Below are 13,184 nucleotides of genomic sequence, written 5' to 3' on the forward strand. Positions count from 1 at the left end.
ATCTTTTATGATTGCTTTCTACATCCCCCTTCCTTGCCAACTCCCTCTTTGCCTCTCTACTTCCTTCCTTCCTGAAAAAAAATGAAATGATCAAGTGCCTACTTTGTGCCAGGCATTGTATAAATTTCTAGAAGTGCAAAGCCAAAGGATTGTGATTTGGCCCCAGAGGAGTGTCTATCTAGTTAATGGTATAGTCTAACCTTTCCAAACAAATACTACTAATATAAAGTGGTGAATGTTATACAGGTACTTGAGATATTCACAAAATAATATCTAGGCTCCCAAATAACATAGAGTGGCCATCATCTTATGTGGCTAAGCCTTGAACTTTATGCAGACCCCTAGCACAAATCAATCCAAACAACACATAATTATCTTAGTAAGATCCGCAGTTAGTTGTAGTCATTCAAAACTTTGCTAAGTCTTAAGTTTGCGAAAGTCTTGAGTAGGCAAGAGACCATTATTTTGAAACAGAAAAATAGTTAAATATGTAGAGTATTTGAGAAATGTGTGAGAACTGCCTATTCAACTCTGTTGGGCCAGGATGTAGATCTTTCCAAATCACATGACTTCTCCCTGTTGGCACAATCAATCATATCTGAAAATGATGACATATGGAAATAATTAAATAACAAAGAAGAGAGATAAACATTGTCAAGTGACTTGGGCTGTAGCCAGGAACTGACAATGTTAAAAAATATTTTGCAGAAGATTGTACATTTAAAAGCCGTAAACTGTGACTGATCATAGGAATTTATTTTTAAATAGGTTTCATTAGTTCAAGTTAGAATGACAATAAATGTGAAGACATGTTTGTCTGGGATGTGGTTTTTTTTTTGTTTTGTTTTTTGCTTTTATTCAGCAAAGCGTACTTTTTTTCCCAAAACATAAAATCATTCAGCAAAAAAACAACCAAAGAACAATAACAAAAAAACAGTGCACATGCCACAAAGCAAACCAAACATAGCTCAGTTTTCCTACTGATAACATATTTTGTCTTTTAATTTTGGCATGTGGAAGTCACAGAAATTCACAGACTTAATATGCACACCCAAATATTCTAAGTGCTTATTTAGGGAGTATCTTTATTTGGAATAAAGAATTTCGAGTTATAAAACTGATGGCTTATAGAATGCAGCTTACTAAATTGGTCTTCGTTCTTACAAACTGGAGTAATCTTGTCCTTTGAGAGTTGAAAATACATATTCATCTACATTTCTGCAGCGAGTGGCCCACAGTTAATTTTCATCACTGGTGGGGTTGGCAGAATGTTCACTCTCTTCTGCTGCTGTGCTGTGTCTTCGTTGACTTGGAATTGCAGGAAGCACTCGGTTTGTCCGCAGAGGTTCTCCAGATAGAACTGGGAAGAAAGAATAGAACAAGAGACTTTCAAGATTTGCTTCTCTAACAGGAAGGCGGCAGGAGAATTGTATTGTGTTTTAGGAGTCGAGGCATTTCTAAGAAGTGTGTCTTGGTGAGAGCTAGACTGCAGAGAGAAGCTGTGTATGTATATCTTGTATATATATCTGTTCAGGCTTGCTGCATGAAGTCTGGGATTTCAAATATGCACACATAGAAGACTGTACCAAGTGTGATCAAACATGATTGGGCTGTGTGTGCCTGGCAGAGCTCTTCCTTGGAGTGGAGTAGCTGTTGATGTTCAAAAACTGCTCACAAGGTTCTAAAGAAGGCCCAAGACATTTGTACTGTGCTTTTATGCAAACCTCAAAAGGCTCTCAGGCTTCTTTTAAGAAAAGCACTGTGGGCCCTTTCATTTCTTTTTTGTAGAGCTAAGTTGATCAAAGATCTTTATCTTTCCTTCTCTCCTGAAACTTAACTGTGAAAAGCAAAGCTCTTGGGCCCTGCCAAAGAAAACCTCTCTTCGGCTTCTCCAAGCTCCAACAGCATTCAAGACTGAGTGGCTCTTTCCTTAACTAGATGTTTTTGTGGCTACAGTTCTGCTTAAAGACAGGTTCGGGCTTGAATTTCATTCAATGATAGAATTGACACCATCCAAAACGTTCACTTTACACACATCTGTAAAGGGCAGAGGAACTGATCTGTCAAGGAAGAGGTCTTGGTTTCTGCTACTAACTCTCTGTGTGACCTTGGACATATCCCTCTACCTCTTAGTTTCCTTATCTGCCAAAAGACAGAGTTGTACTAAGACCCTATTTTTCATTGTTTTTACCTAAAGAGTTCTAGAGCTCTTGGTTTGTCTCCTTCAAACCCTAGCCTAGGGGAGAAAGACATACTGGATATATACTCTATGCAAACAGTGTGCCAAGTGTTTTACATATGTTATCTCATTTAGTACTCCGATAAATCTTATTAGAATAGCACTATTGTTATGGACGGTGAGGAAACTAAAGTACAGAAAGGTTGAGAAACTTATCTGAAATAGGACAGCTCCTAAATCGTCTAACCTGCACTTAGGAGGATGTGGAGGGGCTGTGTGTGTGTGTGTTTGTCTGTGATAAATGCAGTGGGGTGCAATTGGAAGAAAAAAAGAAAATAGAATCCAGTAAGTATTGCTTATTTCATGAGGCAGTAGACTCAGTGTCCTGTAGTTTTGTTCCTGGCTCTACAATGGGAATAATAATAAAACTTGCTTTATTATTATTATGCTTCAGAGTATAGATATGAGAATATTCAAACTCAGAATCTCTGGGTGGGGGACCCAGGAATCTACTTCACAACAAACACCCCAGGTAATACTTAGGCACACTAAAGTTTGAAGATCACTGGCCCAATGGAGTATATTAATATTTTATATTAGGAGAATTTTTTTCATATAAAATAAATCAATAATACCAAAAGTAATCCTGATGAACTGCATTTTTTTTTCTGCTTAGGAATGCATGGACTGTGAGTACAGAGGCGATGTACATTTCTATCTGTCCAGTATAGTAAGGAAACTGATATCAGGAGGCCAGTCTTAAAAGAGAATTTTTAAAGCACCTTCCTAAAGACATTAAATAATACATGTAAAAATAAACTTGTTATTGTTTCAATAGTTCAAACACAAAAATTCCTAAAGGGAGGGAGTGTTATTTTTTTAAAAAAAATAAGCATTTAAAAAAAAGCTTTAAAGATGGTCTCTGTTTTCCTGTAATTTATAAGTGTTGGCACCTGATGTTCCCTTGAAAAATGAAAGTAGGGCTGGGCGTGGTGGCTCACGCCTGTAATCCTAGCACTTTGGGAGGCCGAGGTGGGTGGATCACTTGAGGTCAGGAGTTGGAAACCAGCCTGGCCAACATGGCAAAACCCCATCTCTACTAAAAAAAATACAAAAATTAGCCAGGCGTGGTGGCAGGCGCCTGTAATCCCAGCTACTTGGGAGGCTGAGGCAGGGGAATCGCTTGAACCTGGGAGGTGGAGGTTGCAGTGAGCTGAGATCATGTTCATTGCACTCTAGCCGGGGCGACAGCGCAAGACTCCATCTCAAAAAAAAAAAAAGAAAAATGAAAGTAAACGGAAATAACATTTAGTTGTGTCTAGATATGTTAACACTTGCAAAGGAAGCTGCGGAAGATTCATAATACTTACATTTTTGATCTGGTAGGGGAGCTAGGTTGTTCCGAGTGAAAGGAAGATCCCTGATTTTGTGTCTGTTTGGGGAAAGATGCTGAAAATTTTGTCCTGAAGATAAACATATTTGCATCAATTACTTGAGACTCAACCAAGTGCAAATTACAGAATGCAATGGATAAGAGAATCATCAAAGTTGTTACAGATCACTAAATTTAAGGTGGTAACAATAACAATGAAAACAATGATAGCTACACTTTATTGCATTTCTGTTATATACCAGTCACTGTTTAAATGATAGAAAAAGGTACTAGAAATCATTTCTTGAGAGTACTAGTTTAAATAAAATTTTATAAAGAAACACACTGGGTTACTCACCCCATAAAAGTTAAAGTTGAAAAAAAAGGAAATAATATAGATATGGCATCTCTTATATATTCATCAAATCTTTGATGAAATGAGTGGGTGATGAGTAGAGTATTTTCTTCTAAAGCAGAGTTTCTCAGTCCTGGCTGCACATAGGAATTATCTAAGAAGCTAGAAAACATACTGCTTTCCTGGCCACATCCCAGGTTATTAGATCAGAATCTCTGGAGGTGGGGCATGGTGTCAGCTGTTTATCAGCTCCCAGCTGATTCAAGTGCAGCCAGGATGGAGAATCATTGACCTGGAAGACGGAATGGGGTAGATGCACTCAGGAAACCTATTCTTTAACTTGGACAGAAAGCAGTGGTGTGTGCATGGACCATGTGAGCCAGCTCTTGAGAGCTGATGGTTACATTTTCAGAAATTTTGTGAACTGTTTGACATCACACTAGTGTCTTGAAATCAGCCATGGTGGGTGTATTTACACCGTGAAAAATCAGCAAGCACAGATTTTTCTCCTGGAAAGCTAGCTGTTAAACATTCATCAATGTACTACTGACTTTAAGATACGGATGTTCGATACCTGAAAATAGAAGGGAACACACAAATGTGATTTAAATCCATTTTAAAATTGACTGGATGGTGTCATGAATAGGAGCTTGGTTGGGCTCTGGGGTCAAACAGAATTAGGCTTGATTCCCTGCTTCCCCACTTTTCAGTTATATGACATTGGGCAAATGATATTACCTCTCAACACCTCAATTTTTTCATATACAAAATGGTGAAAATAATTGTATATCTTTTCCACTTGTCATGAGGATTAAACTGGAGAACAAGGGTAAAGCATTTAGCTTATAGGGTAAAGTACTCAAAAGACCTTAACAAAAAAAGATTATTTGATCTTTTGCCTATCAGTCTAGTAAGAAAGAACCAGAATTGCTATAGCAATGCTCCTAGACTTTAAGGGTCTTCTGTTGGAGCAAAATAGCATAAGAAAAAAAGAAAAAACAAAAGGATTAGCCAAGAACAACTTGCATCTGTTTAAGTGAATCTCATGGTGGATGGTCTGTGCAGAAGCGGCCACCTCAGCAATGTTAGTTGATGGAGATTAAATCTCCAGTCTCCCTGGTGGATATTTTGCCATTATATTTTATCCTTTTGAACACTGAACATCAAATAACTTCAGGAGCCATTATTTACAGAGAAAATATTCCTGTGTAGAATTAACATGAAAATTTATATTAGCGAACAACTATTTATCCATGAACACTTGAGCAGAAATTTGTAAAACCAACGAGATAATAATTTTGAGTTATGTTTATGGAACACTTACTTTTGTCAGGAATAGGGATAAATGCTGTAGGCATAATCTTATTTAACTCTGACAATCACTTTTTCTTGTGAGATACATTCTATTATCATCCTCATTTTACAAATGAGGACCTTGTGACTTGGAGGAGTTCTAAAAGTGCTCAAGTCACACGCTAGGAAGGGACACAGCCTAGACTTCAACCCTATAGGGCTGACCCTGTAACTTCTATTATTCTGCCTCCTCTAAGCAGATGGGAGCAGTGGGCAAAGAAGGGCTACAGCAGTGACTCGGAGATGAAGGGGAGTTAAACTTTATTCCATGTTGGCATTTTGCTCAGTTTTCAGGGACAGGGTGGAGCCGTGCATAGCCCAAAGCTGTCTGGTGCTGCAGGCAACTCCAGGGAGTGTTCAGCTTTGGGGACAGGGTCAAGGACCACTGTCCTAGAAAAAAAGGATAGGAAATGTTTTCACAGTTACATGATGGAACCCGAGGTGACTGCAGGATTAATAATAATAATAATGATAATAACAATAATAAATAGATAATTCAGCAATCATCCATTGAGCACTCATCATATTCCAGACCCTAGAGTACAAAGAGGAGAAAGCAAGGCGTTCAGGAGGGGATTGCAATTGATGTGGGAGGAAAGACAGGTAAACATATGGTTTTGAAGCTCCATGAGTAGTGCTGTGATAGAGTTTGTGAGGGCATTGCAGAGGAAGGAATGGTCCAGAGAAGTTGAGGTTTTCTGGGATCCCATAGACCTTGTTCCAGTATCTCCTCTGCCACTTCCTAGCTAGCTCTGTGACCTTAGGCAGATGAGCTAACCTCTCTGTCTCAATTTCTTCAGTTATAAAGAGGATAAAATCTCTCCTGCAATGTTGTGGAAAGTGAAGTGTGTAGGTGTGTAGGTCAGCAAGGTGGAGCTATTCTTTTTTTTTTTTTTTTTTGGAGACAGTGTCTCACTCTGTTTCTCAGGATGGAATGCAGTAGTGCCATCGTGGCTCACGGCAACCTCTGCCTCCCGGGTTCCAGCAATTCTCCTGCCTCAGCCTCCTGAGTAGCTGGAACTACAGGCGTGCGCCACCACACCAGGCTAATTTTTGTATTTTTAGTAGAGATGGGGTTTCACCATGTTGGCCAGGCTGATCTTGAACTCCTGACCTCAGGTGATCCACCCGTCTCAGCCTCCCAAAGTGTTGGGATTACAGGCGTGAGCCACCGTGCCCGGCCAGGTGGAGCTGTTCTTATTAGCAGTCCTAAGAAAGAGCCATATTTCCTACAGAGATCAGGGTGACCTTCACATATTATAGAAGGTGAGTTTTGAGCTGGTTCTTAAAAGATTGTAGGAATCGGTCAAGCACACAGTGGAGAGAACCCAAAATAATAACAAGGGCCAAGATGTCATAGAATGGAAAGGTATGAAATTGTCAAGAAACTGAGACATATTCAAGGAACTTCTGAAGAGGTAGGGGTGGGGATTTGAGATGGGCGGTGCAGAAGCTGAGCATGACCATGCCGTGAGGTCTGACCATGCCGTGAGGGCTTTGTTTGCCCAGTTTAGAACCCTGGCCTTTGTCCTGAAAAGATGCAAAACGTTTGATGGGTTTAGACAGAAGGATCACAGGATCAGACCTAACCAGCCAGAAGAGTGCATTGTTGGCTGAGATAGTCTAGAAAATTCTAGAGAAGGAAGCTCTCTTTTGCAGGAGAAAGGAAATGCACACTTTTTTACTTTTCTTGTGACGGCTTATAAATAACCAGGCTAGCAGACAATACCACAGAGCTTTCTGTTCCATTTTCTCTGAAAGCTGCCTGCAATGAATTAAGCTGACGTGCTCCAAATTCCAAGTCTCTAGGATAAGTGCTTCATCCCCCATCTTGCTGCATCCAACCTCTGACAGGTCTCAATAAATGTTAAGCAATAATCATTACAGCTAAATGTTCAGGGCTGCTGATGTAAGCATTGGATAGTGGCTGCCTGGAATTTTAACAGCAGCACTACTAACTCATATTATTTCTACCAAACCCAGGGCAGGAAAGGAGGAAATCCAAAGATAAAGGGACAATCCAAGTTCAAGTCAGTGCTATAGTGGGATGATTTATCCAACTGCTTTACCACATTAAACTTTCACATAAAGTTTCAACTCTCCTAGACTAACAACAACGACAACACCCACTTCAGTGTAGTGCAGAAGCCTCAGTGATCTCAAAACAATTATTGTTAAAAATGATCACAAAAATAAAATCCGTAAGGCTAGGAAAGCTTTTTTTTTTTTTTTTTTTTTTTGAGACATAGTCTTGCTCTGTCGCCCAGGCTGGAGTGCAGGTGCGATCTCGGCTCACTGCAACCTCTGCCTCCTGAGTTCAAGCGATTCTCCCACCTCAGCCTCCACAGTAGCTGGGACTACAGGCGCCCGCCACCACACCTGGCTAATTTTTGTATTTTTGTATTTTTAGTAGAGATGGGGTTTCACTATGTTGGCCAGGCTGGTCTCGAACTCCTGACCTCAGGTGATCCGCCTACCTTGGCCTCCCAAAGTGCTGGGATTACAGGCATGAGCCACCACACCCAGCCTTAGTGGCTCATATCTATAATGCCAGCATTTTGGGAGGCCAAGATGGGAGGATTGCTTGAGGCCAGGGGTTCTAGACTAGTCTGGGTAACAAAGTGAGACCCTTGTCTCTACAAAAAAATGATGACAAAAAAATTAGCCAGAGGAGGAGATGTGTCTGTAGTTCCAGTTACATGGGAGGTTGAGATGGGAGGATTGCTTAAGCCCAGGAGTTTGAGGCTGAAGTGAGCTATGATCAAGCCACAGTACTCCAGCCTGGGTGACAGATCCTATCTCTCTCTAAAAAAAAAAAAAAAAAAAAATCCCTCACTCTCTTTTGATAAATCAACTGTGATAAACACTCAGCAATCATTTAATGTTTGATCAAATGACTAAGCTCCTTTCCATTTTTGAAACCCTATGACTGTATCTAAACATGAGAAGAAAGTCAATTTAAAGTCAGTTGCAGAAGCATTTTAGTAAATCTATACCCCTTAAAGCTGATTTATAGGCTGAAAACACTTGGGAAATTTATCTTATCATGACTCAGTTGCCTAGAATGGCTCCTAGTTATAATCAGCACTCAGAAAAATTGGTTGAAAAAAATATTTGATATAGGCAGATTCCATTGGAGAAATTCACCTTCCCCTTTCTGCTATTCTGCTGTCCCAGGATTTTTCTAGTTATTTCATTGTGTAAGTGAGCAAATCCCCAAACCACGTTTATTGAATTTCTTTTTATTTCAAATAAGATGGAAATTTTTGGGTGGCACATGTGTCAGAATGTACTAACTCTCCATCTAATATCTCCTCCCTCACTTAGAAACAGAAATCCAATTTTGGAGGGATAGCAACGTGGCCAGCTAAAAGACTCCTTGTTGATAGCTGTGAATATATGACCAAAGTTTAGAGGCCAATGAGATGCAAGCGGAAGTGTGGCACTTAAGCCAGATGAGTTCTTAATGGGAGCTGATTCACATGGGGACACGCATTTTTCCCCCTCTCTACTTCCTTCCTCCTGCTCCATCAGCCCCTCGAGGAGAGAAGCCATACATTAGGTGACGGGGCACATAGATGGAAAGAGCCTATGTTGCTTATGATTGTGGAGCCACCAAATGTCTGGGAACTGCCTACTTCAGACTTCTTTCATGTGATAGCAATAAACTTTTTTTTTTTTTTTGAGACAGGGCCTCACTTTGTCACCAAGTCTGGGGTGCAGTGGTGCGATCTTGGCTCACTGCAACCTCTGCCTCCCAGGCTCAAGTGATCCTCCCGTCTCAGCCCCCCAAGTAGCTGAGACCACAGGCAAGTACCACTACTCCTGGCTAATTTTTTTTGTATTTTTTGTAGAGACGAAGCTTAACCACGTTGCCCAGGCTGGTCTTGAACTCCTGAGCTCAAGCAATCCACCTCCCTTGGCCTCTCAAAGTGCTGGGATTACAAGCCTGAGCCACTGCACCTGGCCGTGATAGCAATAAACTTCTATGTTGTTCAAGCCCCTGTGACTTTGGGTTTCTTTTACAGGAAGCTGAACCCCATCCTAACTGATGTAAAAGAGACAGGCCAAGGCTGTCTTTGGAACGGAAAAAGAACAAGATTTTCAGATTTTCACATGATTTTCATAACAGAAGGTATTCGTTTGGCCGGGACAGGCCTAACTCTGGAAAACAGGATGGGTTGAGGCCCTGAAGTGTCAAAAGGTGGCAGACCACTGTGTTCCCTTCCTGATCCTTCTGCAGAAAAAAATGCAAACACTACCCATGCCACCAGCCAAGTGCTTCAGTGCTTTGTGGAGGAAGCAAAATCTTGACTGGAGTTTTTCTCAGACATCAGGAAACAGCCTTAATGTGCTTATCCATATTTATCCTGTGCCTAAATATGTATACAAATATGAGTGAGGGAGCCATATTCTACTTCAAAGGCTTCAGGCACTGGGCACATGTCAAAGGGTGAAGAGAGTCAAAATCAACTGCATATTAAACGCAAAGGAATTTTGCTCATTCTGAAAAAATATATGGCCCTTTTCTACTTTTTAAAAAAACATATTGCAGCTGGGCACAGTGGCTCACGCCTGTAATCCCAGCATTTTGGGAGGCCGAGGCGGACGGATCACGAGGTCAGGAGTTCGAGACCAGCCTGGCCAACATAGTGAAACCCCGTCTCCACTAAAAATCCAAAAATTAGTCAGGCGTGGTGGCACATGCCTGTAATCCCAGCTACCTGGGAGGCTGAGGCAGGAGAATTGCTTGAACCCAGGAGGCGGATGTTGCAGTGAGCCGAGATCATGCCACTACACTCCAGCCTGGGTGACAAGTGAGACTCTGTCTCAAAACACACACACACACACACACACACACACACACACACACACACCCCACCGCCCAACAAAAACCCCCATTGCTGTCTTGGTCTTTCATTTTTCTACTCTTAGAGAAAAATGGCTTCAAGAAATAAATTATTTTTTCTCTTAATCCTACTGTAAGAAAAACAACTGAAAGATGTTTATAAAGCCTGTCTGACACTCCATGGAGAGACGGTGGAGTGGTGTGGACTGGACTGAACTGAACTGGGGACAGTGGTGTCTAAGTGGACAGTGGTTACTCAGATCCAGCCAATTATTGCCATTTGGGAATTTGGGTTTAGTGTTGCCAGATTTTCTAGTTTTTCGAGAGAAGCTAGAATTCTAGATTTTTATATAAAATTTCATAATTTAAAAATATTGACAATTTACTTAAAAACAAGCCAAGGTACTGTGGCACCGAACAGGTTTCGGAAGCTGTTTTGCAGCCTCTGCTTTTGAACAATGGTTCAAAGAATCACCTGTGGATCTTTTTTTTTTTTTCTGTAGAGATGGGGATCCTGCTACATTGACCCCCTGCCTCAACCCTTCAAAGTTCTGAGATTACAAGTGTGAGTCACTGTACCCAGCCTATGGATCATTTAAAAAATAAAAATAAATTCTTTAGTGCGATAAATTTATTTATAAGGTGGGGAATAGATACATATACATTTGTATAAAAATATAAATTCTATGCCAGGCGCGGTGGCTCACGCCTGTAATCCCAGCACTATGGGAGGCTGGGACGGGTGGATCACGAGGTCAGATCGAGACCATCCTGGCTAACATGGTGAAACCCCATCTCTACTAAAAATACAAAGAATTAGCTGGGTGTGGTGGCATATGCCTGTAGTCTCAGCTACTTGGGAGGCTGAGGCAGGAGAATCGCTTGAACCCGGGAAGCGGAGGTTGTAGTGAGCAGAGATCGTGTCACTGTGGAGGTTGCAGTGAGCTGAGATTGCACCACTGCACTCTAGCCTGGGCGACAGAGCGAGACTCCGTCTCAAAAAAAAAAAAATCTTTATCTATATCTATCTATCATCTATCTATCTGTCTATATAAATTCTTAGGCTTGGTGTGGTGGCTCATGCCTATAATCTCAGCACTTTGAGAGACCGAGAAGGGAGGATTGCTTGAGGCCATGAGTTCACCACCAGCCTGGGAAACACAGTGAAACTCCATCTCTACAAAAAAAAAAAAAAAAATAGCCAGATGTAGCAGTGCGCAACTGTAGTCCCAGCTACTCAGGATGCTGAGGCAGGGGGATCGCTTGAACCCAGGAGACAGAGGCTGCAGTGAGCCATGATTGTGCCACTGCACTCTAGCCTGGGTGACAGAGTGTGACCTTGTCTCAAATAAATAAATAAATACATTCTTTAGTGTGATACATTTATTTAAAAGGTGGGATATGTACATATTTCATATCTAAAAATGGAGACATATATGTGGGTAAAATATCTCTGGAAGGATAAACAAAAAATGCATTTTTTTTTTTTTTGACATTTAGCTTTGGATGAGGGGCACTGGATAGCTGGGGAAGACGCAAGAGGGAGAATTGCTTTACAACCCTTTGGTATGTGTTGAGATCTAACTCACAAATGTGCAAATGTGTTACCTTTCTACATGTGTCCACACAAGGCATGGCCATTTTCCCTGTTCCCTCACCAAGATTTTGGTTCAGTAGGTCTGGGGTGGAGATTGAATGCCTGATTTAAAAACAATCACACAAACAAACTCCTCACAGGTATTTGCCACACACTAGTTAAGAATCCTTGCTAGTGGAAATAGTAATATTCTTGCTCCAATCTGGTACATACCACACATATTTGCTGGGGAGATGAGAAGGCACATATTTGTACTTGATGATTACTTGAAGAGGGGAGAAGCAGAATGTTTTCACAGCTCAGAAATCTCAAATCCAGTGCACTTTGGGAGAAAAGGTGGCTCTAATCACTCATTTTATTCTCACCCTGCCTTCTAGGCTATTGTCACTCCAGTTCCTAGCTTAAAACTGTACGGGACATTTCCAGTATAGAGCCTGCTGAGAATGAACATGAAATCAAGGACATTACCTGATGATGGATTATGTAGATGGCGAAGGTGTGGTGGCACGGAGACCTCTTGGTGACCAGGCCGGACACTGAGCAATCTGTCCAGCAGCTTATCAGAAGAAGACACAGTCCAAACTTTGTAGGAAAATACCTGATTAGAATCACTCTTCCAGGGGTTATCTAGTAACATCTGGCAGCCAGTTCTGTTATTTAATAAATCCTGCTCACTTCGACTTTTCTGAGATCGCTGGGCCATATGATGAGGAGCAGAGCTCAGGCCTGCATGGGAAGTGGCCCTATGGGAGGCTGTTAGGAAGTTATTGCCCAGGGTGATGGGTGGGAGACTCTGCGTTCTGATTGGTGGAAGCCCCTTACGGGCCAGCGGTTTCTTTTCTGGTAAGAGATATTTTGAATTGTCTGAGGTTTTCTTCTTAAATTCAACCATAGCCACCTGATCACCAGGCTGTTCTTGGCAGTTGGTACCCACGATGCTATCAAAGGTGGTGATGATGTCATTGACTTCTGAGGTGTCCTCCTCTCTGTATCGGTCCCTGCTGGGATCCTTCTGATGGGCTCTCTGCTCTTCTTTCTTGTTTTTGCAGAATATTTGGTTGAGCACGTTGAACCGTCTCTCCTTCTTCTGGGGCCGACTGCTCTGGGAGGGAGGGGGTCGAGTAGGCTCTGTTCTATGCGAATATAAAAGAGCAGGGATGATATGTGAGTATGGGAAGTAGAGACATCACTCACCGAAATACCGACCCCCTATTCCACATGCTTCATCAGGTTTTCTGAGATCCTTCCTAGATACCTCCAAAGCCTTCTCAAGTTAAAGGCAGTGTGAAGAACTCACAGTACCCCTGGCAATCCCGCCCAGAAGAGGCTCTTTACCATGGGCAGTCTTTGCCCAAGGAGGACGTTTCTTAGATTTTTCTTGCTCCTTCAGGGGATATCCTTTCAAAATTTACACCTAGATCATCTGTTTTCAACAAGAGGTTAACTAAACTGAAAATTAGCTGAAAGTGTTGTTCTCAC

The 13,184-nt window shown here is 41.6% G+C and overlaps 1 protein-coding gene across 2 annotated transcripts in view; it reads right to left on the reverse strand.

The window, feature by feature from the left end:
* Positions 1–735: 735 nt before the first annotated feature.
* Positions 736–13,184, reverse strand: part of ANKRD55 (ankyrin repeat domain 55) — a 133,651-nt gene continuing 121,202 nt past the window's right edge. For both annotated transcript variants that reach the window (NM_024669.3, XM_047417710.1), the window contains 3 exons: positions 12,174–12,838; positions 3,550–3,642; positions 736–1,360 (listed from right to left, as the gene is read on the reverse strand). In NM_024669.3, the coding sequence (NP_078945.2) occupies positions 1,239–1,360; positions 3,550–3,642; positions 12,174–12,838 (880 nt within the window). In that variant the 3' untranslated portion in view covers positions 736–1,238. The remainder of the gene's footprint in view (positions 1,361–3,549; positions 3,643–12,173; positions 12,839–13,184) is intronic.

The sequence above is a fragment of the Homo sapiens genome, chromosome 5 (genome assembly GCF_000001405.40).
Source record: "Homo sapiens chromosome 5, GRCh38.p14 Primary Assembly".
Lineage (NCBI taxonomy): Eukaryota > Metazoa > Chordata > Mammalia > Primates > Hominidae > Homo > Homo sapiens.